Here is a 25844-nt window from a genome sequence, read left to right on the forward strand (position 1 = left end):
TAACAACTCGGTGTAAAAATGTGGCATCAGCAAAGTTTACATTTATTGCACTTTGTTCCCATTTTCTTCCTCCATACACACACACACACACACACACACACACACACACACACACACTCACTCACTTTAGGAGCCCAGCCTCACAGGCGTATCTGAGCCCCCAGAAGGGATCATGCAGTATCAATATTCTAGTCCTCTATGGTTCTTCCCTCCCATACCTGACCTAGCAATGACTCTTCAAGGAGCTTACTAAAGAGACAGCAATATGTGCAGAGAAATATCTCTGTGCAGAAGAATGTTTTGATGTAATTAAAAATAGTGATGATATAGCTAAGAATGACAGGTATAGTTTAAAAGAGGATTGAGTAAAGAAATTATCATTAATTCCTGAGGTGCAATACTAATCAATGGCAAAAAATGACATGTACATACACACACACACAAACTACAAAGGAAAGATATCTATAATATTGAGTTCACAAAGCGGGTTTGAGAATAGCTTGTATAAAAGGATCTCACTATGTAACATTGTATTCATATGTGTTATGTGTTTATACATAACAGGTATTTCCATTATATAGAAGTATATATACACATATATTACAAATTACATATACACATGTAAGTTGTATGCCTCCTCCAGGAGAACTTTTTAATTCAAAGGAAATTTTTTATTTTCTTCCATAAGTTATTGTGGTACAGTTTGGTTACATAAGTTCTTTAGTGGTGATTTGTGAGATTTTGGTGCACCCATCACCCAAGCAGTATACGCTGCACCATATTTGTAGTCTTATCCCTTGTCCCCCTTCCACTCTTCACCCCAAGTCCCCAAAGTCCATTGTATCATTCTTATGCCTTCGTGTCCTCATAGCTTAGCTCCCACATATCAGTGAGAACATACGACGTTTGGTTTCCAATTCCTGAGTTACTTCACTTAGACTAATAGTCTCCAGTGTCATCCAGGTCACTGCAAATGCTGTTAATTCATTCCTTTTTATAGCTGAGTAGTATTTCATCATATATATATATATGTGATGGATATATCTATCCATGGATATATCCATGGATAGATATATCCATCACATATATATATATATATCATATATATATTCCATCATATATATGATCGATATATATCATATATATACTATATATATGGGTGATATATATGGTTGATATATATATCATATATATATGATACACACACACACACACACACACACACACACACACATACACACACACACCACAGTTTCTTCATCCACTCACTGATTGATGGGCATTTGGGTTGGTTCCATGATTTTGCAATTGCAAATTGTGCTGCTATAAACGTGTGTGCAAGTATCTTTTTCGTATAATGACTTCTTTTCCTGTGGGTAGATACCTAGTAGTGGGATTGCTGGACCAAATGGTAGTTCTACTTTTAGTTCTTTAAGGAATCTCCACACTGTTTTCCATAGTGGTTGTACTAGTTTACCTTCCCACAAGCAGTGTAGAAGTGTTCCCTGTTCACCGCCTCCAAGCCAACATTTATTGTTTTTTCATTTTTTGATTATGGCCATTCTTGCAGAAGGACTTGCCTCTATGCATATACACATCCTGTGTCCCACTTATCATCGCGGCTCATCAGGGAACTGAAATTGAGGAAAATAATAATAGCTTAATCCACCTTGGCCAGGTAGCATATTTGTACTATAGCTCAAAGCTTCGAAGCCCAAGTGGTGTGGATCTTTGAGGCAGATCAATAAAAGACAGATTTTGAGACAGAAAAGTCTTTCTGAAACTCTTGGATTATTTCCTATAAATGACCAAATATAAGGCCATACACAGCTCACAGGAGACTCTTAAAACTGAATGGTGAGATCTTGCAAAATTATCTTCTTTTGGCTGCACAAAGCAATTGCCTATACTTGAATGGTGGTAAGCAATGCTTGGGACAATGAATTTGAGAGTCCTTTTTAATAGAATGAACTACTGCAGGTAATTTTCAGGCAACAACTCAAATTCTTATCTAAAAAACTAATTTTTAGCTTTTCTTTTCCTGTTGATGCCTTTTCAGGCAGGTGGAGGATTTTCTTAAGCAGTTGGTATCTGCGGAGTTATGCACATCTTTGTGAAGAGCCCAGACAAATTAGAAAGTCAAATTAGCAATGCATATTTAATGTTATTTGTAGTTGTTGTTGTTGTTTTTAAGTTGGCAGTGATGTTTACTCTTTGAGGGGGAGTTTATAATTATGCAAATTGGAGAAACAGTCTGCATATGGTATAATGATAATGCCTTGGGTTTTATATCTAGAGTCTAAGTATTTCTTTCATTTTACCCATGACTAGAGGGGAGGTTAGCCAAGGCTTGTGCCTGCTTTCTCTGCCATGATGGAGTATGTGAGGTCTTAGAACTTGAGTACCTTTATAAGCTTTCCTCTTAGAGGAAGCACTGCTGAGATTTTCATAGTATCATCTTATAGTAGATACTATTGATTGCCTTTACAATCACTATTCTTTCTTCCTTTTTTCTTTCTAATAAGATTTTAGTTTTGTTTATATATCCCCTTTTCTCCACACAACCATGTAGTTCAGGGAATGTGAGTCCCATTCTTAACATCAAGAAGGGACTAACAGTTATTCTAAACCAATCATGGTGGTTCCATTTGCTTTGCTAAGGACTGGTTTAGGCAAGGGTGTGTAACACATTTCTGGCCAATAAATGTGAGAGGAAGTTTGCTGGAGACTGATGAAAGAGACAACCCACTGAAGAGGTCATAATCCAAGTCTTGGTAATATTACTGATTTACTCCATTGACAATCTATGGACCTCTCTTACCTTGGGACTTCTTATGAGGGCCAACAACTTTTTTCTTGTTATTTACGCCACCTTGAATCTGTACTTTCTGTTACTTGCAGCCAATAGCACATCTTAAGTGATATATAATTTGACAGGTCCTATGTTGTCTGGGGAATATATACAATGGAGAAAGTTTAAACCATTTACTTGGCATCTGACATACCAGATCAGCTGACGTTTATTTTACTGGGTTGGAGGAAGAGATAGCGGTGGTGTTTTTTTTGTTCTGTTTTGTTTTGTTTTTTTAATTTAGACTCAGAGGGTACATGTGCAAGTTTATTTCATGGGTATACTGAGTGATGCTGAGGTTTGGGCTTCTAATGACCCCACTGCCCAAGAAGTAAAGATAGTACCTGATAGGTAGATTTCAAGTCTTGTTCCTCTTTCTCCTTCCCTCCTTTTTGAAGTCTCAGTGTTTATTGTTCTCATCTTTGTGTCCATGTGTAAGAAATGGTAGTTTCTCATCTTGGCAGTGGAGAGGAGTTCATTATCTCCACTGAGTGAGATGAATAATAGGAAAAACTACTTACTCTTCACACTGTTGCTTTCATTGAAACAAATGTCACCAGTCGGTTCTGATTCTCTTGTCAAAGGAAGCCTGCACGACACAGGACAGAAAAGAAATACAAAATATACAATCTCATTTTAGTATCAGCAATAATCAAGTATTTTGCCCTTTTCTCTTTAACTGGATGGCTTTAGCTTTAGACACACTTTATAGAGCAAGTGGAATAGATTCCCAGGAAGTTGTTTCAGTAGAAACATTTTATTTCTGCCAGGGAATCAGGTCTGCTACTTTATCTGCCACCATACAGAATGCAAATTATGGTCCCAGAGATCCTCAGCTAAATGCCTAATTGCTCCATGAAATGTGTGCTGGTCCAGCCACTCAGTGCATTTCATCTTTTTTGTCACATTGACTGGTTTCAGAATGGATATGGGATTTCAGACCAATGAAAGTCAGTTCTGAAACTTGTGTTGAAAATGTAGTAGAAGGTCTCTTTCTACTGTATTTGCAATGATGAAGATGGAGACCCAGAGCTGCTGGAAGCCAACATGGGAAATCAAGACTGCAGTTTTGAGTGAGAGGTACCTAGCTTTGATGTTATTTGGACCCCCAGATTTAACTATGATTGAACTTTTCACTTGTGTGAACTATACATACCCTTCTCTGCTTAGGCTAGTTTTTGTTGTTTTCTTAAGCCATTGGGTTTTCTGTTTTTCTTTTTAAAAAAATCCTCACCAATATAGAAAACAGGGCAGTTATCATAATTTTCACTTCATAGAGTATGAAATAGAAGCTCAAGAGAGAGGGCAGGGTGGGAAAATTCAAGACTCCTATTCAACGGCTCCCTCCATTCCATTCTACTGCCTAACTTCTTTCAGTAATTCATTACAGTAACTCATTACAGGAAAGAGTTGACACACTCATTGCTAACTTTACTGACTTTAAACATTTCCACTTTGGAGACAATGAAGTTGTCTTCCACAAGGCTACCAAGGGAGATAATCTATATTATTTTAGCAAGGTAAAGATTATTCACATGCATATGCACACACACATACTCTATAAAAGGCCACGGTAGGTGCTTTAGATTTGGGCAGAAGATCTCCCTATAGGGTCTGTCCAAGATGCAGCCTGGTTCTTGTTGAAGCCCTCACTCTCCAGGGGACAGCTGAACTAAGTCAATGGACAGCCTCGGCCTCCTCAGTCTTGTCCCCCTGATTTTGGTCATCTGCATGACAGCTCTCTGGTGGCCTGTGACTAATCACAAACAAACTCTCCACCCAGCTGACTGACCTGCCTAGGGCCCAGTTCATTCTCAGTGAGTCACTAAACAGAGTTCACAAAGAGAAAGTCCATAGCCCAAATCCTGCTCCTTGAAGGGTTTTGACACAGACACACACACACACACACACACACACACACACACACACACACACATTATTTGAACTACATTCACACATTGAAAATTTTTACTTAAAAAGGGTAGATTTCAAGATTCACATTAAAAAATTCCAAAAGGCTGTCAACATTATTTGCATTCCCACACAAGGACACAAGCTGAATCTGAGTGGTGTCTACAGGGTTCAGGCAGGGCACATTTACTTCGTTCACCGTATTTCCTGATCTGTCCTCCTTTACTCACTTCTGCCACGTACCTGGCTGTGTTTTCAACCCCTGCCCTAACCTTCCTACAACCTGTTATTGTTGGCTAAGCCAACTGAGATGCCACCTTGCCCTCCAGTGGCCGTGTCTGGAAGCAGCCTGGGTCCAGCTAGGTTTCCATCTTAGCCTCCAGTTCCTCCATAAATAAAATGGCACTGCTGTGAGACTTTTTAATTTTCTCTTATCCTTGTTAAATCTTCCAAGTCCTCTGTAGAAAATAGGAATTATTTATTTAAATCAGAAAAATAAGTTAATAAATGCTCTTGTGAAAGTAAAGCTTCCGTGTCCTGCGTGGGGGGCAGGAATTTGGGGAGGCTGTATGGTGGAATCAGCTAGGCACTGGAGGAGGTGTCAGAAGATTGGGACACTCTGTGATCTTTTATACTTTTATTTCTGTCTCTTGACCTTGGTTTCCCTGTCTATCAAATAAGGAAGCCGTGTGTGCTAGATCAGAAGTTATAAACTGGTGGCCCCATAGTCCGTATCCAGCTAATAGACGGTATTATTCCCCCTTATTAATTAGATGCCAACAGCTAAGAAGAACGTTTCAATTAACAATCCAGATTACAGACTTGTTGGAACTGTCTAGCAACAATCACTAATGGTCCAGTGATGGTTAGATGGGGTAAAGTTTTGCCCCTGTCCTCATCTACTTCCTAGAGGTCATACATTCACCTTCACCACCTGTTTTATTTGTTACATTCCCCTTGCCATTATAGGCATTTGCTTTTCCTACTCTCCAGTGAGATGACCTCTAGAAACCCTTTAGCCCTCATTTCTGTGAGTAGAGGCTGGTGCTCTGAGAGTTAGAGACAGACAGTCTGGAGAAGAGGAAAATGTTCTGAGCAAAAAGCTCACCCTGGGACATTCCAGTAAACCTTAATGAATTGCTCCTCCTCCCCACTTGGCCAACAGTTGAAACAGCAAGACGCCCAGGCCTTTGTGAAGGTCCCACTACATGGTTAAACCTAAAAAGGCAACAGCGGATTTTGAAAGTAGAAATATTCTTCCGTTGGGGTTGCTAGCTGAGTCTCTAAGTAATTTGCAATTCAAGTGTCTCTTTGTTTTGTATGAAAATTTGCTGCTATCTGGAAAGTGGGGAAGAGCTAAATTGCATCCTGCTGGTTTTACTTTGGCTGTATCAAAAAAGAAACTGTTAATCTGGTTCCATAATTAACTTTCCTGTTCTAAAAAGGCCCTGGGAGAGAGTCCAGAGGGTGGCTGTCAACTCCCTGCCTCTCTTCTCAATAACTCCTTTCAATAGAATGCCCTGAAAGGAGAATGATTCCAGGTGGGGATTGGTCTTGGTTTTCTAATTTTTCTTCTCCTTTATCACCATCCAACCACTATTTAGTGAATAGCTACAGTGGGTAAGGCACTGTGCTGACTAGTTGTGTGCCTAAGGATAAATAAATCCCTGTGGAGCTGCCAGAGAACATAAGTAAGTTAACTTTCTATCCATCCACCATCCATCCATCCACTCATTCATCCAAAATGAATGAGCAGATGAATATAGAAACAGTTAGGTTTCTATATTATGGCAGACACTGTGCTAGGCATCGGTATGTGATACATACAAAGATGGCTTAATCGACATTCAAAAATTCTAAAGTGGAGAGATGAATTCTGACTAGGGCCTCAATAGTTGGCTTCATGGAGAAGATAGCATTTACATTTACTTTGGCCCCTTGATATTTATGTGCATGCATACATGAGTGCACACACCTCATGTACATGCACCCATACATGTGGATGAAATGCTGGTGAGACAGGCCAATTGATTCAAGTAGAGGCATGTAGGCTGGGAATTCAGTTTGACCATCACCGGGAGACCCCTTTAGCAGTAGAAGTGGGTTTGAACTAACATTAAGTGCTAACAAATTTGAGTACAGCCATGCAACAAGGGATATGTTCTAAGAAATGCATCATTAGGTGATTTTTTTATTGTGTAAACACCATAGAGTGAACTTACACAAACCCAGATGGTAAAGCCTACTCTACGCCTAGGCTGTATGGTCTAACCTACTGTGACTAGACTACAAACCTGTACAGCATGTTACTTTACTAAATACTGTAGGTCATTGTAACAAAATAGTAAGTAGTGTATCTAAACATAGAAAAGTTACAATAAAAACATAGATAAGGTACAATAAAAATATGGTAGTAAAATCTTATGGGACCACTATTGTATCTGTGGTCTGCTGTTGACCGAAATGTCATTTTGTGGCACATGACTGTACTGCTAGGCACTGTGCTAAGCACTTTGCATCTATTATCTTAATGAAATTTCACAATGCCAAGCGTAATTATTGGCTACAGATTACAGACAGGAAACAGACTCAAGGAAGTTCCCAGGGAACACATTGGCAGAATAGATAGTGGAGGTGAGACCTAGGTTCATGTCTCATTCTAAAGCACAAGGTTTAACTTCTAGGCAATATAGCCCAGCAGGGGGTTGGGGATGGGGAACCAAAGGAGGACTTAGGTATCTGTTAACCAATCAAGCAGTCATTCAATCAACAATGTATTCATTCATTCATGCAAATACTGTATATGTTTGCTGAGTATTCTGAAGATTGGGTGTAAAGAAAACAAAATAGGCAAATTCCTTATCCTCTTCGAGCTTCTGTCCCAGGGACCTAACACTGAAGCGCTTCCCTCCTCTACAGTGCACAAAGGAGAAAGTACAATGAGGCCAGAGTTAATCTCCAAGTTGATCCCCCAGAGGACTACTCATTGGCTGACCTTTGCCTAGTTCCACCCAGACAATTTGGATGGTACCCTGTCACCTTATTTTCTTTAAAGGACATTTGTTTTATCTTTTCTCTTCTCTCTGAAATTACTGCCTTGGGTATGATACATGTATTTTCCAATCCTATCCTCAATTGCAACTTGAAAAAAGTTTGTAAAGAAGTTGTTCTTTGCAACCCACTCAAGAAACCTAAGTAATTTTTCAGTGTTGATTAGGCTATTTTAGGTCTGGCTCTGAGGAAAGTTAGAGAGAAACCCTCGTCTTAACCCTGGTTCCCAGTTCACATCTACCTGAGAAAACTACTCCTAGAAGTCACCAAATTCTGCCTTAAACCTAACCCCTGAAACATCTATTAGGTGTCTTTTATGAGTTGGTGCACAACTCCCAAGATATATGAGGTATCGCTCAAAGACACTGCTTTATTCCTGAGAATTAGAACTGGGTAGGAGTCCTGACTGTCAGGGCTATATATAAGTATCAAGGAGAAATTACCCTTTGTGTTATTGCACCTGTAAATGAGGAGGACAGTTGAAACAAGATCATAAGTTGACAAAAGGATGAGGTTGCCAAGGGAACCTTGTATTCTCTGGCAGAATAATGGCTCCCTGAAGATGCCCATGTCCTAATCCCCAGACCTGGGGAATATGTTACATCACATGGCAAAGGGAACTCTGCAAGTGGAATTAAGGTTACAGAGTTTAAGATTCGGAGATGATGCTGGATCATCTGGGTTGGCCCAGTGTAATCACATGAGTCCTTTAAGGTGAAAGAGGCAGGCAGAAGCGCTGATGAGTTACACGATGATGAAAGAAGCAGGAGGAGAGATCTAAAGTGAGAGAGACTGGATCCACTGTTGTTGGTTTGAAGATGGAGGAAGGGGGTCATGAGCCAAGGAACCTGGGCAGCATCTAAAAGCTGGGAATAGACCTCAGGTGAAAGCAAGAAAGGAAATATGGGCCTGCAGTCCTACAACTGCCAAGGAACAAAATTCATCCAGCAACCTAAGTAAGAAAGAATATAAATTTTCCCCTAGCACCTCTAGAAGGGAGCACAACTTTGCCAACATCTTGATTTTAGTCTAGTAGGACCCATGCTGGACTTCTGACTTACAGAACTGTAAGATAAATAAAGTTGTGTTGTTTTTAGCTTCTAAGTTTTTGGTAATATGTTAGGGCAGCAATAGGAAATTAATATGCTGACTATTGGTTGAATCTCTATTCATTGGTAAGTGTGATCTAGGAGCAAGTGCGGCTTGAAACCTGCCTGTGCTCAGTAGGAATTGGTGTCATTAAACATGGCAGAAAACCCAAAATGACAGTGACTTGAACACCTAAAGTCATCCTTTTGGCTTCAAACAAGTCTGGAGATAGGCAGTCCAGGGCCTTCCACCATGGTGGTTCTATGGTGTCACCAGGAAAGAAGGATGATTCTGACTTTCTGCTGTTACTTCCAGGGTTAGTGCTTATTCTTCTGATCCAAAATGGCCATCAGAGCTCTAGCCATCACACCTCAATTACAGGCAGCAGGATGAAGAAAGTGCAAAGGAAGCTGTTGCCTTAGGAATACTTCTCAGTAGCTGTTTATGATACTTGCACTTCTACCTCATTGGCCAAAACTTGGTCACGGGATCACATATGGCTCTATAGAAGGCTAAGGAGGACAATACACTCAACTAAAAGTTAGGATTCTTATCACTAAGGAAATAAGAGAATGGACTTGGAGAGAAAACTGACAGTATCAGCCTTCGTGTGGTCATTTTTGTGGGATTACTGGATGGTTCTCAAAGGGCCACAGCTATGAAAATGACTCTAGCTGGGATGAAAGCTTTTCCCTTCCCACTGACCAAAGGCTCTTCTCTCCCTCTTTACAGTCCTTTCTCCTAACTCCATTTTCCAGTCTACCTTAGTCCTATGCAGTGTTAAGGGCCCATTTCAAATCTTACCTCCTCCAATAAGTTTTCCTAAATTCTACTCAGAGGAAATAAATCCCCCCCTCCCTAAACTTTCATAAACTGGGTTCTATGTACCCCTTGTCACACTCCATTTTATGTGGGCATTGCTACTGTATGTGAGCGTATTTACTGCCTTCTGGAATGCAGGCCATCCTTTTATTCACAGTTGTATTTCCCACAATGCCTCAAACACAGCATGAACTCAATATATGCGTGACATATCAGAGAATGTGATCTTGTTCCCCAGTATCCATATTGTTCCTTTTATTTTAGAAATAAACCCTCTTCCTGGATCTAAGTGTTATCTGGGTATGTTGGTTGTGCAGCTAGAGACTTCAGAGTCAAGTCTCTTTTGTGGTTACGTGGAACCATGTGACTGTGTTAGGGCCACTGGAATATGAGCAGGCATGGTATTTGCAGGTTCTGAGTCACCTCTCTGAAGACAATTCTGCTTGCCAGGACTCTTTCCCCCACTTCTTTTCTCTTGGCTGAAAACAGTACAGCAGTCACCTTGGACCCAGAGATGGAACCCACATGTCAAGGATGGCAGAGCCAACCAGCCAGCTTGTGACTCAGGAATACCTGCTGCTGTCTACTTGCCCTAGATTGCCTACCCACCTTTGGATGTGAGGATACACACACTCTCTCTTCTAAGCTGCTTACTTAGTCTCCAGGGTAGCAGTTTACCTGTGCCTCAATTCATCCACATGATCAATGTAATTGGTCACTCTTGGCCTGTGGGTCGAAGTCTGGCTTCCTTTCTACCTGTCCTTTTCCAGGAGGGTGACGTTAACCCTAAAATGACATGACCTAAAACACTCAACTGAACACACACATGCCATGCTCTCAAAGCACTTCAGAGCACTTGATGGAGGTGTGGGTCAGGCTCTTGCATCCTGCTTAGCCAGGAGGGCTAAGGCAACAGGTTTGTGCCTAGCATTTTATTATTTCTGCTGGAGTCACTCTTGAAAATATTTTTAATCGGGAGTATGTTCAGAATTCTTAAATAATGTTTTGCACCAACATTTATTGTTGATTCATTCTTCTCAAACCCATCATTTTAGAAAATTGTCTTTTTGCTGCCTAAGTATTTTTGCCATTTGAAACTTTCTCTTCAAAGTTCCATTTTTTTTTTTTTTGCCATACTCTTTAGGAGCCTATTTAGACAATTCTGCTGAGCATGCATTTCCTAGCTGACTATTAACAATAAAATGCCTTGTGTCTGTATGTATTTTTATTTTAATATGTTCCAAAGCCTTTTACAATCGAATAGCACTTAATTATCAGAGAAGCCTGGCAAGTAATGCAGCTTAAGCGTTAGTATTTCCACTCTGTAGACCAACACTCTTCAACAATTGTGTGGTGTAACAGAATTTAACTATCCATTATGAAGTATTTATATTGTAAATACAGTCATACGCTAAATAACATCTTGATCAACAATGGATCGTGTATGCGATGGTAGTCCTGTAAGGTTACAATGGAGTGAAAAATTTCTGTCACCTAATGCCGACATCATGGCTGTCACAACATTGTATTGCAATTACTTTATTTGTTTAGAAACTTAGTGTAGCCTAAGTGTATGGTATTTATAAAGTCAACAGTAGTACACAGTAATGTTCTAGGCCTTCACATTCACTCACCACTCATTCACTGACTCACCTGGAGCAATTTCTAGTCTTGTAAGCTCCATTCATGGTAAGCACCCTAATGCAAGTGTACCATTAAAAATGTTTTTTCATAGTATCTTTTCACTGTATTTTTTCTGTATTTAGATACACAAATACCATTGTCTTACAATTACCTACAGTATTCAATAGAGGAACATGCTGTACAGGCTTGTAGCCTAGGAGCACTACGCTGTACTATATAGCCTAGGTGTCTAGTAAACTATACCATCTAGGTTTGTGTAAGTACACTCTGTGATGTTAGTACAGGATAAATTGTCTAAAAACATATTTCTCAGAATGTTTCCCTGTCATTGACATGTGACTGTAATTTTTTTATGGTAATAAAATGTCATTCTTTTAATGTATCCCACACATATAATTGACAGTTTTTGAGGAGCTAATATGTCCTAGGAACTGTCCTCAGCATGAGGAACACAGTAATGAATTAGACAGACAATGTCGCTGCTTGTAAGGATCAGGGGAGCAGTTAATGAATTGCTGCATTTTGAGCAGGATGGTGAATGTCTACTGCCTTGTCTGTCCTGCATCCCCTGTTTCCTCTGGACAACTGATTTCCTGCTGCTCCAATCATGTGATTCTGATGGGGCTGCTGACCACAGCGGAAGGTAGGCAATCCAGGTCCGGCTTTTCTTAGAATTGCATTCCTCTGGCCACAGTGATTGTTTCAAGTGAAGTCACTTGACTTAAACCAAAGCCAATCAAAGTCTTTTTAGGGATTTAGAATTTAGAAAACAGGAGAAGATAGAAGTTCTTTGATTTGTCATCACTGGGCTGGGATGAGATAATCCTGGAGTAAACTGTGGTGGTACATTTTGGCACATGGAGGAAGCCTTTTTGCAACAGAGGAAGCCTCACTTTTCCCACCCAGTTGTAAGTTCTGGCTACGTGGGTCTTCTGACTATTCTAAAAACATCAAACTCCTTGCCTCTTAAGGCATTTTGTTTGGAATGAAATGCCTTCTCCAGCCTCTTTGCCCAATGGATTCCTTCAAGTCTCATCTAAATTTCACAGACCTTTTCTTATTCCTCTACTTAAAGTAGTATCATTGCCAATATACTCTCTCATAGCACAATGTTTATTTCATTAATAGCAATTTCCAAATTTCAAAATAGCACTCTTTATTGTTATTGTTGTTGTCTGTTTCCTCCATATTGTATTATATTCCACAAATGCAAGAAATGCATTTGTCTCACTTATTTATTGTCTCCCCAGCACTATGCACACTGCCTGGCAGAGTACCCTTAATATTTGTTGAATGAATAAGTGGAAGAATGTGTAAAAAGATAAATGCTTCTCACTGACTGTAAGGTTGGAGGTCCATGATAAATGGAAATTATCCTTCCATTTCAGCATTGGTATGGTACATAAGCTATTTCATTTATCTTTTTACAAACCATCTTTTCAAAAAAAATCCTTAATCAAAAGAAAAAGAATATCTTGAGCTGAGTCTCAAACAGGATATCTCAATTGCAAAATATCTTTCTTAAAGTTTCACAGCTACCTAGACAAGAATATCTTCCCAACATTATAGGAAATTCCCACATTATCATGCATATGGGTAAAACCATTGAAGACTGGAGTAGAGAGAAGTCTTGACTCAGATTGGTGTCTACTGTACTCTCTTGGGTAAGTCATTTCCCATCTCTGTCCTAAGGTTTCTGTACCTGGCCCCTTTGTTTTCTAGCACTGAGACTTGCAGCAATTCACTCATTTCTGAGCTCCAGGATAGTCACAATGAATAGGGGTGAGAATAGTGGCCCCTAAAGAGATATGTCCATGTGCCAATCTTTGGAACCTATGAATTTTTTTTTTTTAATTTGGGAAAAGGGTCTTTGCAGATGTGATTAACTTCAGGCTTTTGAGTTGAGAGGATCATCCTAGATTATTCAGGTGGGTCCTAAATCCAATGACAAGTGTCCTTATAAGAGAAAGGCAGAGGGAGATTTGAGATCCAGTAAAAGGCAACGCGACCACAGAAACAGAGACTGATGTGATGTGGTCACAACTCAAGGAATGCCAGCAGCCACCAGAAGCTAGAAGAGTCAAATAATGGATTCTCCCCTACAGCCCCCAGAGGAAGCATGGCTCTGTGAGATTTTAGACTTCTGGCAAGCAGAAATGTAAGAGAATGCATTTCTGTTGTTTTAGCCAACAAGTTTGTGGTAATTTATATGGCAGCCCTAGAAAATAAACACAGTCCTCACTTGTACTACAGGTGTGACTGGGGGTCATTCTGCCCCCTGAGTTCAGACCCCACGTTGAGGCCAGGCTTTACTGTCACCACATTTAGTGACCTCACCACACCAACTCTAAGAACTTTAACAATTGATGTATATTTAGAGTAAAAACAGATATGGAGGACACCCTTATGTATATCATACCACAAAGCATTCTTAAGAATTTACCATTCACATTCCATTCTCCATGGCCACCGCTACTTCTCCCTCTTTCCCTGAGAACTCTCTTTTCCAGCTATCCACATCTTCCTTGTCTCCATCACCCTCTCCAAGTCCCTTTAGCCAATACATCAGCAAGTATTTAAAAAGGGCTCAATCTTGTCCAAGAAGCTATGGAGAGTTCCACTTACTACGAACGTTGTGAAAACATTAACATTGATAATAGTAGTAGGAAGGGTAACAGTAGCTGACAGTAACTGGTTGTGTGCAAGTAGCAGCCACTGTGCTAAGCACTTTCTTTGTATTCTATCTCTCAACCTTCAAAAATAGTGCCTTCTAAATGAGTTCTTTCCCAGATGCATTCAGGGTACAAGGCCCATCACATCCCTAGGACCCCCAGCGGTAGTATTGTCTTCTTGCCACACATTTACAAGCTGGTCGCGCCCTTCCAAAGGATCTCATTCCTCCAGGAGGGCATTTGATTCTAATCAGCAAATTGCAGAGAAAAGTTTCCTTTTAATATTTGTTGCACCACAACTGATTCCCTTCCCCTCTGACGTCTTGTCTATTATAGACTCTTATGGGAAGGGAGGATCTTGAGAGTGGACTCCTCACACAGGTACCTCCCACCTGCACTTGGAGGACAAGAAGGGAATCCAGAGGAGGGGGAGGAAAGGGAGAAAAGGTGGCTCTTCCAAGCCAGCTGTCTGTTAGAGAAACAAATTGAGTGCAGTTTGCCCCAGGAATATCAGGATTTTCTTTAACCTGGAGCTTAAACGGCAATCTTCTTAGGGTGGGAACTGTAGGGAAGGAGGCAGGAATCTAGAGAAAACTTCCACATACAATCTGTTCCAGCTGCTTGGGGGCACCCAAGGGTGGACAGCAAAATCTCCCCCTGAGTTGTCAGGGGGTTTCAGAACTCACTAATCACATCTAGTTTCAAAGCCTGTGGAGAAACCAGGGCCCAGGAACCCCTGGCTGGGAAAGGCATCCTTGGCTGCATCTTCCCTGATTGCCTTGCCTGCTACAACAGCTGGGCTCAGATACCCACTGCACGTGGCTCCACTGTGTCCGGCCCACAGATACAGCAAGGGCCCTGGAGGTTACCTATGGATGCATGCACAACGAATTACTCTCACTTTTTGCATCAGTACCAGCTCCCCTTTTGCTCTGAAAGCAGCTTTGCAAGTTTATCCCCACCTGTGTTCCTCCACTCCCGAGACCACTAGCTTTGCTAAATTGTTTATTGTGAGTTGCTTCTGCAGCACTTTTTCAGTCTCTCTCTTCTTGAACTTACATCACATCTCAGAATGATTTGTTTCCACTGCCGATCTTGCCTCCAGTCTAAGTACTTTGAAAGTAGGGGCTATATTTTATATATTCCATGTTCCCTAAGTGCCTAGCATTTGGCCTTTCATATAACAGATACTCAAATCTTTTTGTTTTACTAAACAACTATTCATTTAGTAGAGGGACTGCATAAGATGCTGTGTGAACAAACTAGGAGGGAACAAACTAGTGGAACTGCTGGTGTTCAAACCTACATTTTAATGAGAAAGCTAAGAAAATGCACAAACACAAACACACAGAGAGAGAGAAAGCATTAACATGGTACTAAATTTGATGCTAAATACAAGAAAAGAAGCTGTGCATGGTGACACATGCCTGTCATCTGAGCTACTTGGGAGACTGAGGCAGGAGAATCGCTTGAGCCCAGGAGTTCGAGACCAGCCTGGGCAACATACCAAGACCCTGTCATGCAAAGAAAAGAAAAGAAAAAAAGAAAAAAAAAAAAAAAGAGAAAAGAAACAAGTGTGGAAATGGAGAAGAGATAATGAAAACAAGGAGCTTAGATAAGGTGGGCAAGGGAAGGTTTCTTTGAGGTGGTGACATTTAAACCAAGACTTGAAGGGTGAGAAGGATCCAGTCAAGCCAAGAGCTGAGGAGGTTGGGGAGGGTGAGGGTGCATTTCTAGACAGAGAGGACTTGGAAGTTCAAAGGGACTAAGGTGGGAAAGAGAGTTTGACATGTTCAGAGAACTGAGGGGACTCCACTGTGGCTAGAGCTCAGCTGGTGAAGTTGGGGAAGGGAAGGGGGTTATATTGGGTTGGAAAACGTCTTCCTAAAATTCAAGTCCACCTGGAATGACCAAATATAACCTTATTTAGAAATAGTGTCTTCACAGATGTAGTTAAGATGAAATTATACTGGAGTAGAGTGGGCCCTAACCCAATGACTTGTGACCTTTCAAGAAGAGAAAACAGATGCAGAGACAAAGACAGAGACAGACAGGGAAGAAGGCCCCATGAAGACAGAGGTAGAGGTTGGAGTTACAAGTCTACAATCTAAGGAACACTGAGGGTTGCCGGCCATCACCAGAAGCTAAGTAGCAGCAAGAAAGGCTCCTCTCTCCTAGACCCTTCGAAGAGAGAATGGCCCGGCTGACTCTGATTTCAGACTTCTAACTGCCAGAACTGTGAACAAATACATTTCTGTTGCTTAAAGCCACAAAATGTGGTGATGTGTCATGGCAGCCCTAGGAAACTAATACATGGGTCAAGGAAAAGACTTTTTCTCTATTTTTTTTTTTTTTTTTTTTTTTTGAGGCAAAGGCTTACTCTGTCACCCAGGCTGGAGTCCAATGGTATGATCTCAGCTCACTGCAACCTCTGCCTCCCGGGTTTCAAGCAATTCTTGTGCCTCAGCCTCCCAAGTAGCTGTGATTGCAGGGATGTGCTACCATGCCCAGCTAATTTTTGTACTTTTATTCGAGATGGGGTTTCACCATGTTAGCCAGGCTGGTCTTGAACTCCTGACCTCAGATGATCCACCTGCCCGGCTTCCCAAAGTACTGGGATTACAGGCCTAAGCCACCACGCCCAGCCATGAAAAGACTGTTTCATCGTTAGTGAAATGGAAATCCATCACAGGGTGATAGGCTGTATCAAAAGCTGATTTTTTTTTTCAGGTTTGTGTTTTAAAAATGTGTCTCAAATGAGTAAAAAGAAGTCCTCGGACTCAGAACACTTCCCCACATCTTTCCAAGGCTACAATGTCTGTGCCATTTGCAGTGTCCTCCACCATGTAACTGCCCTCTGAGCAGGGACAACGTGGCACACTGGGAGATTAGTCATCTGATTTAACCGTCTCCACCATCAACCACTTGAGGTTTCAAAACATGTCCCTTCTATTTTTAAGCAAGCAGCAGTCTACTTCTGCATTATAAATTTAGTTCCCTTTTCCCCAGATACCTGGTGACGCCATGTGTTGTCCCTTGTCCTCCTCCTTCTAGCCCTCTTCAGTTCTAATGGAAAACATTACACAGTTCAAAGTCACTGTTAATTAATGCTGATGTTTGCTTTGCTGACATTGGTATGAAAAGTGCTTATTTGAGGGCGAGAGAGCATGTTTCTTCTAATTCTCAACACCACTTCAGTATGAACTTAAAAATCAATGGATGACTGGATTCAGATGAACATTTACAGTCTGAATTTTGCCATTCATGAATGCTAGCACCTGACACTTGGGGAAAAACAGGTAACTTAGGAGGAAGAATGGCCAAATGGGGAAATAGGGTAGAAGCTAGAAGGTTCTGGAGTGCACAGCTTTCTGCAGCCTGGCAGCATTTAGAGTTCTCAGCGTATTAGAGTTCTGGAGAAAATAATTTTCCTTCTTCCTTAAAATTGATGGATTCACTCATAGTTCTCATCCATTCAAGATGAAAAGTTTCCTGATTAGGAATTTGAACCTCAGTCTTTACCAGTTGTAACAAGGAATTTTGAGTTGGAGCACTCAGTGCCAGTTACTGAACCAAATGTTGCATATTCTTCATATCATTTAAGAAGGAAAATGGGCACCATTGGAGTTACAAGTCTGCAAGCTAAGGAACACCAAGGGTAGCCGGCCATCACCAGAAGCTAAGCAGCAGCAAGAAAGGCTGTCATTTATTGAGTGTCATAATCTTGGCTGGTACTTCATATACATTATTTTATATAATTCTGTCATTTCAGGGTAGTAAAGTATGAACTTGGAGTCCACACCTCGGTTTAAATCCTGGTTCTGCAACTTAGTAGCTAAACAACTTCGATTAGTTGCTTAATCTCTCTAAGCCTCAGTTTCCTCATCTATAAAATGGAAATAATAAAAATGTCAATCTTATTAAAATTAAATGAAATCCTGTAATACTGTCTGGCTTATAATGATGATTACAAGAATCATAATGATAATAGTAATAATTACTGTAGCATTTACTAAGTGCAAAGAGTTTACAAATGTGACCATTGAAAAGCAGAGAAGTCAGAAACTTGTCCTTTGTTAAACAGCTAAAGTGTGGTATAGGTGGAATTTGATCCATTAACGTTAGCCATTGTTAGGGTTATAATCTGGAGTTCTAACTACAGTGTTTTGTACAAAGTGCATGCTGAATAAATATTTGCAGACTGATAAATTATAGGCAGTATATTCTTGCCAGGGGAGAATCTTGGATCTTGTTTAATAGTCTCCACTTATATGGGATTTGGCTAATATAATTGGTTTCTTTCTTCACTGGATTCCACAGAGATAGGCCATTCCCCTTTGCTTCTCAGTGTTTGCTGAGTCTGAGCAGAAAGTATTTTCTAGCTGTGATTTGGGAAGAATGACATCAGCTTAAGAAACACATTTAAAACATCCATACTTCAAGGCTGAGGTATAGGCCTACTCTTCCAGGAAGCTTTGAAATTTCCCTTTCATTTGAAGCCCTGCAGGGCCCTTCCACCCAGGTCTTTCTTTTGCTTCTTATTAAATAGGTTTGTAATGTACTGTTTGCTGGCTCTTGGTCCCTTTGACATGCTGTAGAATCCTTGCCAGCCCTCAAAATCTCCTAGAGTTATTTTCAGGAGCTCTTTGTGGAGTTTCACATACACTGATGCAACTTTGGCCTCCTCCTTGATATCTGTGGCCCAGGAATCCACTAACGATGTATTCATCCAACATTCCAGCTGCCAGGGTCCTCTGTGAACACTGATTCTCTGTCCACGAAGCTTCCAAAGACACAAACCCTACTGGGGCTAAAATGACGCTACTTTATAGAAATACTGCAGATACTGTCCCTCTCTGCAACTTATTGTTCCACTCTGTCTTATTGATCCTGCAGTGCCTTTACTTATGCTCATCTCTCACGAAGTCCTCCAGGTAAACAGCTCCATTAGCCTCTCCTTGTATCACCTATCACCTTCAGCCTCAGACTACAGCCAGGCTGAGTGACTGGGAGATGTCTGATTTTTCCTTTGCAGCTCTTACTACAAAATGGCAATCACATATTTATTTTGTGCAAATTCCATCTAATGTCTATCTTTCCAATTAGAGGGCAAACTCCATGAGGGAATGGATTGAATATGCTTTATCATTCCTATATCCAGAGTAGCACAGTCTTGAACATAGCAGTGCTTAATAAAAATGTATTAAATGCATGACTACTTTGTTCTTCTGAACCCATTCTCCCCCAAATCAGGTATCCAGGTAAAGACGACAGGAGTTCTAACTCAAATCAATGCCTAGGAAGAGCTCAACCACTCACCTGGACCTCTAGCAATATACAGGCCAAGCCCAAGTTCACCAGTTAATGAGACAGAATCGAAACCTGGATTCCAAGTTCAGGCTTTGAGCTTAGTTAAAAGAGGTTTACGTGATCCTTCCCACACGGTTCTTCGAAACAGATTGGGAAGCTCTGGAGGTGGGAACAATGCCTTCTTCATCTTAGCATCTCCCACCTCATCTAGCATAATGCCTAGCAAAGAAGATCTTCCCAAGAAATATTTATCGGATGCAGGCAGCAAACATGATGGTCAAGATGAACGTTTGCCAGCATAGTAGAGTTCCCATTGATCTGCTGCAGTCTTCCAGCTGTGTCTGTAGAGGTGTTGGTTGAGACGTTGAAGGGATTTCTGCGACAACTTTTCCCTTCAGATTGCCTCTCTGGAAATGGTTAATACCAGTTCACATTAGGTGCGGAGAAACAATTTCCTAAAAATATAGATGGGGCATAAAAGCCTAACATAAGCTGAGGAAGATGACCACCTCATGACTGCCTTCTTCCACAGTAGTCAACGGGATGGGCTAAGGGCTTCCTGATTTGTCCCAATTTGTAAAGAATTTGTAAGCTGACATTACCTGAGGAAAAAATCAAGAACACGCCTAACTTAAAACCATTGCCTGTTTTCAAGCCAACCTATATCAGTGGTTCTCAACTGGAAGCAATTTTGTCCCCCAGAGGACATTTGGCAATGTCTAGAGGCATTTTTGGTTGTCGCACCTGGGGAAGTCTACCGATATCTAGATGAGACAATGCCTGCGATATTGTTAAACATCTATGGTGAATGCACAGAACATTTCCCACCAGTCATCTCCCCAACAAAACATCAGTAGAACTGAAGGGGAGAAACCCTGACTTAGACAAGTTCAAAATGCATGGTAAGGGACACTGCTAAGTTCACATGGAGAGCCTGATACCTACTGCTTAAGGCACTTGAGTTCTTTTCCATTTCTTCCAGCCTAAAGTTAGTTGCTAATGGCTTCAGCCTCCTGAATGTGGAGACTGTACATTAGGGGGCAGCTTGGTTTCAGACTTGCAACCGCTGCTGTGTCAGGATTCAAAGTATCAGAGTGTGTGTGGGGATGCTTTTGTCTGGCTTCTTCTCATCTTTCTCTTGCTGAGCTCAAGTGGGAGGTTTCTCTTCAGTTTCACGATTCTTCATCCCCCATCCCCATTCCAGAAAAAGGCAGGAGGGGAGATAATTGGGGGACAACATAAGGTTGTCAGCTGCTTGCTCAGAAGGAAGGAGTTACTTCCAGCTGAACTCACTCTCCTGCACATGCTCCCTGGGCAGACTTTTGCTATCATGGGCTTTCTCCGTGACATGCTCCTGTTCAAAAGGCTTCTGTTGGCTCACTTGGCATGGTGGGCTTGGAACCAGCTGACCTGGGCTTGACTAGCTATATAACTTTAGATCTCTAAACCTCAGTTTTTTTCCTTTTTGTTGAAGGAGGATGTTGTCATCAACTGTTTAGGTTGTGCTATATGGATTAAGAAACCACACTATCACTGCTGTTGACCACTACCCCAGTTAACATTGCCATGAAGATTATCACGTACCAGGAACTGTGCTAAATGCTTTACACATTATTTGATTTAAGCTTCATTGTAACCTACTTTTTAGAGGCATCAACTGAGGCATAGGAAGAGGCTACTTGGGCCAGGCACGGCGGCTCACACCTGTAATCCCAGCACTTTGGGAGGCTGAGGAGGGCAGATCACAAGGTCAGGAGTTCAAGACCAGCTTGGCCAACATGGTGAAACCCCGTCCCTACTAAAAATACAAAAATTAGCCGGGCGTGGTGGTGCATGCCTGTAATCCCAGCTTCTTGGGAGCCTGAGGCAGGAGAATCATTGGAACCCCGGAGGTGGAGGTTGCAGTGAGCCAAGATCATACCACTGTACTCCAGCCTGGGTGACAGAGCAAGACTCCATCTCAAAAAAATAAAATAAATAAAAAGAGGTTACTTGTTCAAGGTCACATAGCTTGTACTTGGTAGAATAATTTAAACCTGGTGGTCCTACCACTAAACTCTCCTTAATTAATACTGAGAAAGAGCTCTGGATAATGTGAGGTGCTATGCAATCTCAGAATCTTTTCCCCATGATTTATATTTGTTATTTATTTAACTGGTATTTATTGAGTGCCTCTTAGATGTCAGAGACTATGCTAGAGGAGGTCAACACAGATTTTTTTTTTCAACGTTGCCCCTGTAGGATTCATGGGGAGGCAGAAATCAAATTTCTGACTCCAGTTCCTGACTGGAACTGGAGTTACTGTGCCCTGATGTCCTCCTGTGTTCCAGAGCAGATTCAGTGCAAAAATACAAAACAAAAACAAAACTAAGTCAAATGTCCTACCCTTGCACCCATACATAGAGATAAGCAGATCTATTTGGCCAAATAGCTACTTCTATAAGGGATGAGGGTTGTGTGTTGTGTAGTCATCACTTCCTTAGGAAACATTTTTCATCTTTGTCAAAGTCCCCTTTTTGCAGTCTTATTGTAGTATGCACTTCTCCTTCTCAGCAGTTGTCTGGTCTCAATTGTATACTCATATGTGTGTATGTGATAAATAGATGAACTATGTTGTACTGTTTTGTTCATCATTTGTTCCTCAGTGTCTACTTCTGGGGTGGAATATAGAGAGTGTTCTATAAATATCTAATAAATGAACTTGAGTTCATACTATGTGTCAGCTCCTGTGCTAGGATCTTCACGTGCATTATCTTACATGTGAGAATGGATGAGTACTGACATTTTCCAGAGGGGGAAAACAGGCTTATGAGCCCATAGTCATATAGCTGGTAAATTAGGATTCTAACCCAGGTTCATATAGATCCAAAGACCCATGTCCCTTTAGTATCAAACTAGACTGGAGTTTGAAAACTACACATTTGCAAATTTGCAATCATCTTGCAGAGAGTATGATCACAGTGGGGACTGTGAGCTCCAGATTCAGTCATTTTGAGTTCAAATCTTGGTTCCATTACTTCACAACTGTTGGACCTTGGGATATGTGTGCATCTTATGACTCACTTTTCCTTATAAATAAAATAGAAATAAAAAACAGTAGCACCTCATGATGTTATTGTGAAGGCTAGTTGGATTACAGCTGTCCCTGCATATATGCAAGAGATTGGTTTCAGTAACCCCCCACCACCAAAATCCATTCATACCAAAGTCCTGCTGTCAGTATTGCAGAATTATGTGTACCAAAAAATGGCCTTCCAGATACATGGGTTCCCTCAAATATTGTATTTTCAATTTGTATTTGGCCAAAAAAAAGCTGTGCATACATGGACCCGTGCAGCTCAAACCTGTGCTATTCAAGGGTCAACTAAATTTGTGACGTGTTTAGAATAGTGCTTGGCACATTGTATGTGTCTATATATTACATGTGTTTGCTTTTATTCTCCTTGTTGGAGAAAGAAGAGCTTTAAAGACTATATATCATTGTTTATGTATCATTTTTAGGATTCTGCACATGAAGTATACTAATCTGATAAGAAATGTTGAAATTTATGTGCTGATGACAAAAATAATTTAGCAGTAATTAATAATAATGTGTGTCTCCTGCATGGCAGCTCCTCAGCGTATCCACATTAAACAATCACTTGTATTTAACAACATCTTGTTAAATTTAATTGTCTTGTTAAATCTGAATTAAGTGTGTCTTAAAGAAGCTATTTAGATCATCACTGAGGTTTTAAGCTGTCTGCTCATTTTAGAAATTGAACCAGAGCTGCCCAGAATGCTGTTAATTTCAGGTTTGGCACACGCATGTGGACATTTCTGGGTTACTACACTAACTGGGTCACGCTCACCTGGAAGGGCCACCAAGACTAACCCACATTCTCCAGAGCCAGAAACCTGTCTCGCCGCCTGCCTGCCAGGGCCCCAGGTACAGTGAAATGTGAGGCACTTAAGAGCATTTACACGGTGTGGGCAGTGGCCCCTAGTGCCCCAGAGGCTCTTGTTATCTTGTCTGTGTTTGACTGCTGTTTATGTGTGTGAGCAGCCGGCTCCAGATTTAGGGTGGAGAGGGTATTAGTCAGGGTTCTCCAGAGAAACAGAACCAAGAAGATATGTATGTGTGTGCATATTTATATTTACTATAAGGAATCGGCTCACACAATGATGGAGGCCAAGAGGTCCTGCAATCTGTCATCTGCAAGCTGGAGATGGGGGAAAGCCAGTGGTTCCAAGCCCTAAGGCCTCAGAACCAGCAGAACCAATAATGTACATCCTAGTCCAAGGGCAGGAGACCCATGGCCTAGCTCAAGGCATCAGGCAGAGAGAGTGAGTTCTCCCTTCCTCCACTTTTGTGTTCTCTTTTGGTCCTCAACAGATTGTATAAAGCCCACCCACACTGGGGACAGCCATCTGCTTTACTCTGTCCACCAGTTCAAATGTTAATCTCTTCTGGAAACACTCTCACAGATACACCCAGAAATCATGTTTAACCGGATACCTGGGCATCCTGTAGTCTAGTCAAATTGATACATAAAATTAACCATCACAGAGGGATTCCATGTAAAGAGAGTTGCCAGTCCAATTACACTCCCCTGACCCAGATAAAGGTCAACTGTGTTCCTGACACAGATCAAGGTAAGCAGGCAATCAGCATAACATCTGAAAAACAAGCTAGCAGGCTGAGTTTTGGAGGGCAGACAGATCCTGCCATCTTTCCTTCATAAGAAAACACACACATAAGGTTATCCCCCAGAACCTAGGGAATAAGGTTCAGACAACAAAAATGCAAGCTGAGAGTGGGGTTTCTTTTTACCGCTGTTTGTCTTTCAGAACTTTGGCGAAGAGGTCTTGGGAAGATGATCTTTATTGTCTAAGGAAGGGGGGGATAATGATGATAGGAACAACAACAATGATTAACATGGACTGAACTCTTAGCATGTGCTAGGCGTTTGACTAATATGTTTTTAATCCACTCAACAACCCTATTTACACAGATGCTATTTTTATTCCCATTTTATAGTTGAGGTAATTGAGAGGACAGAGTTTGAGTAACTTATTCAAGGTCACTTATCTGTAAATGGCAGAGTAAAGACTTAATCTTGGGAAATATGTATTCTTGACCAATATGCCATCCTGCCTTCTAGAATTCACCATCTTTTGCAGATGTTTATGGCAACAGAGCACTTTGTCACCCTCCAGTTACTGTAGGGAAATTTCCTTCATGTAGGAGGTCAACAGAGTGCAAATGAAATTAGCCTCATTTTCAAGAAAAGAAAAGACAAACGGGGAAGAAAAAGTACAGAGATGCACAGCTCAACCCAGTAAAGAGAGAATCTAGCAATAAATTAGAACCATGGTAGAAAACGATACATATACCTGTTAAAAAGGAATGAACAGTTCTGTTCCACCAATATGGAAATTACAAGGGAGAAATCAAGGGGCAGAAATGTATCTATAGTTGCTCGTATTGTGTTGCAAAAATAAAATTTACATGTATGTTTATAAATGCATGAAGTTTGCTGGTAAGAGTGATTGTCTCTGGTAAGGGAAACTATTTGGTGAGGGGCAAGGAAGGAGGGAAACTTAATTTTCACTGTAAACCATTTTTTTTGGCTTTTAAGTATTGTGCCATATGCCTAGATTACCTATTCAAAATGGACTTTTTAAGTTAGAGCTGAGAAAGAGAATGGGCTGTGCTTTGAGATGCTGAGCACACAGAGAATATTTAGACAGTGAGGATACCTTATCAGAGATGTTGTAAAGAATACTTTGATAACTCAGCACTCAACAATTGGATACTTTTTTTAAGCACATGTGTAACAGATTTTATAAAGCTATAATAATTAAACACAATGTATTAACTCAAGGGTAGACAAACAGTCCAATGAAATAGAATGGAAAATTGAGAAACTGATGGAGGAAGGATGGACCTCCATAGTGATAAATAGCATTAGGATAACTGAACACTCTCTGTATCCATATGATAAAAACAGAACTATTTGATCATACAATATATAATATTCTAGATGAATTCTTTTTAAATGTGATAATGTTGAATTTAATCTGAATGCTGTATTCCCTAAAATGCAGCGATAGCAGAGAAATCTCTTTATGCTTCTAAGTTTCTAGAACTGACCAACTACAATGGGCTACCCTGCTCTCACATGTTCCTACATATGGCTGACTTCTACCTTTCTCAGTGAATATGACTCCTTTTTGTACCTGCCTTTAAAAAGCCCCAAGTCCCCTGGTCTTTTACTTGAGATGCTTCTCATTAATGAATGCTATCTCTACTATAATAGCTTGAATAAAATAATCTCCATTGTCAAAAAACAGACGGGAGAGAGTTCTAAAGAAACATACTCAAAGTCAATATGAACACCTTGACTGGATCTTTATTCCATTAAAAAATCTGTAAAAGACACACTTGGAAAAGTGGAGAAGTTTAAATATGGACTGAATATTAGAATGCGTTGAATTATGGTAAATCTTCT

At 40.8% G+C, this 25844-nt stretch overlaps 1 protein-coding gene across 12 annotated transcripts in view; it reads right to left on the reverse strand.

Annotated features, from left to right (window-relative positions):
* ATP10B (ATPase phospholipid transporting 10B (putative)) overlaps positions 1–25844 on the reverse strand; it is a 366241-nt gene that overhangs the window by 219244 nt on the left and 121153 nt on the right. For 7 of the 12 annotated variants that reach the window (XM_017009252.2, XM_047416995.1, XM_011534468.3 and 4 more), the window contains one exon: positions 3373–3440. Coding sequence is in view for 1 of the 12 variants with exons in the window: in NM_001366654.2 (NP_001353583.1) it covers positions 3196–3307 (112 nt within the window). In the remaining 11 variants the exon portion in view is untranslated. Of the gene's footprint in view, positions 1–3195; positions 3441–25844 lie in introns of all 12 variants that reach the window. The other 5 variants (NM_001366657.1, NM_001366655.1, NM_025153.3 and 2 more) reach the window with 1 other exon arrangement.

The sequence above is a fragment of the Homo sapiens genome, chromosome 5, assembly GCF_000001405.40.
Source record: "Homo sapiens chromosome 5, GRCh38.p14 Primary Assembly".
NCBI lineage: Eukaryota > Metazoa > Chordata > Mammalia > Primates > Hominidae > Homo > Homo sapiens.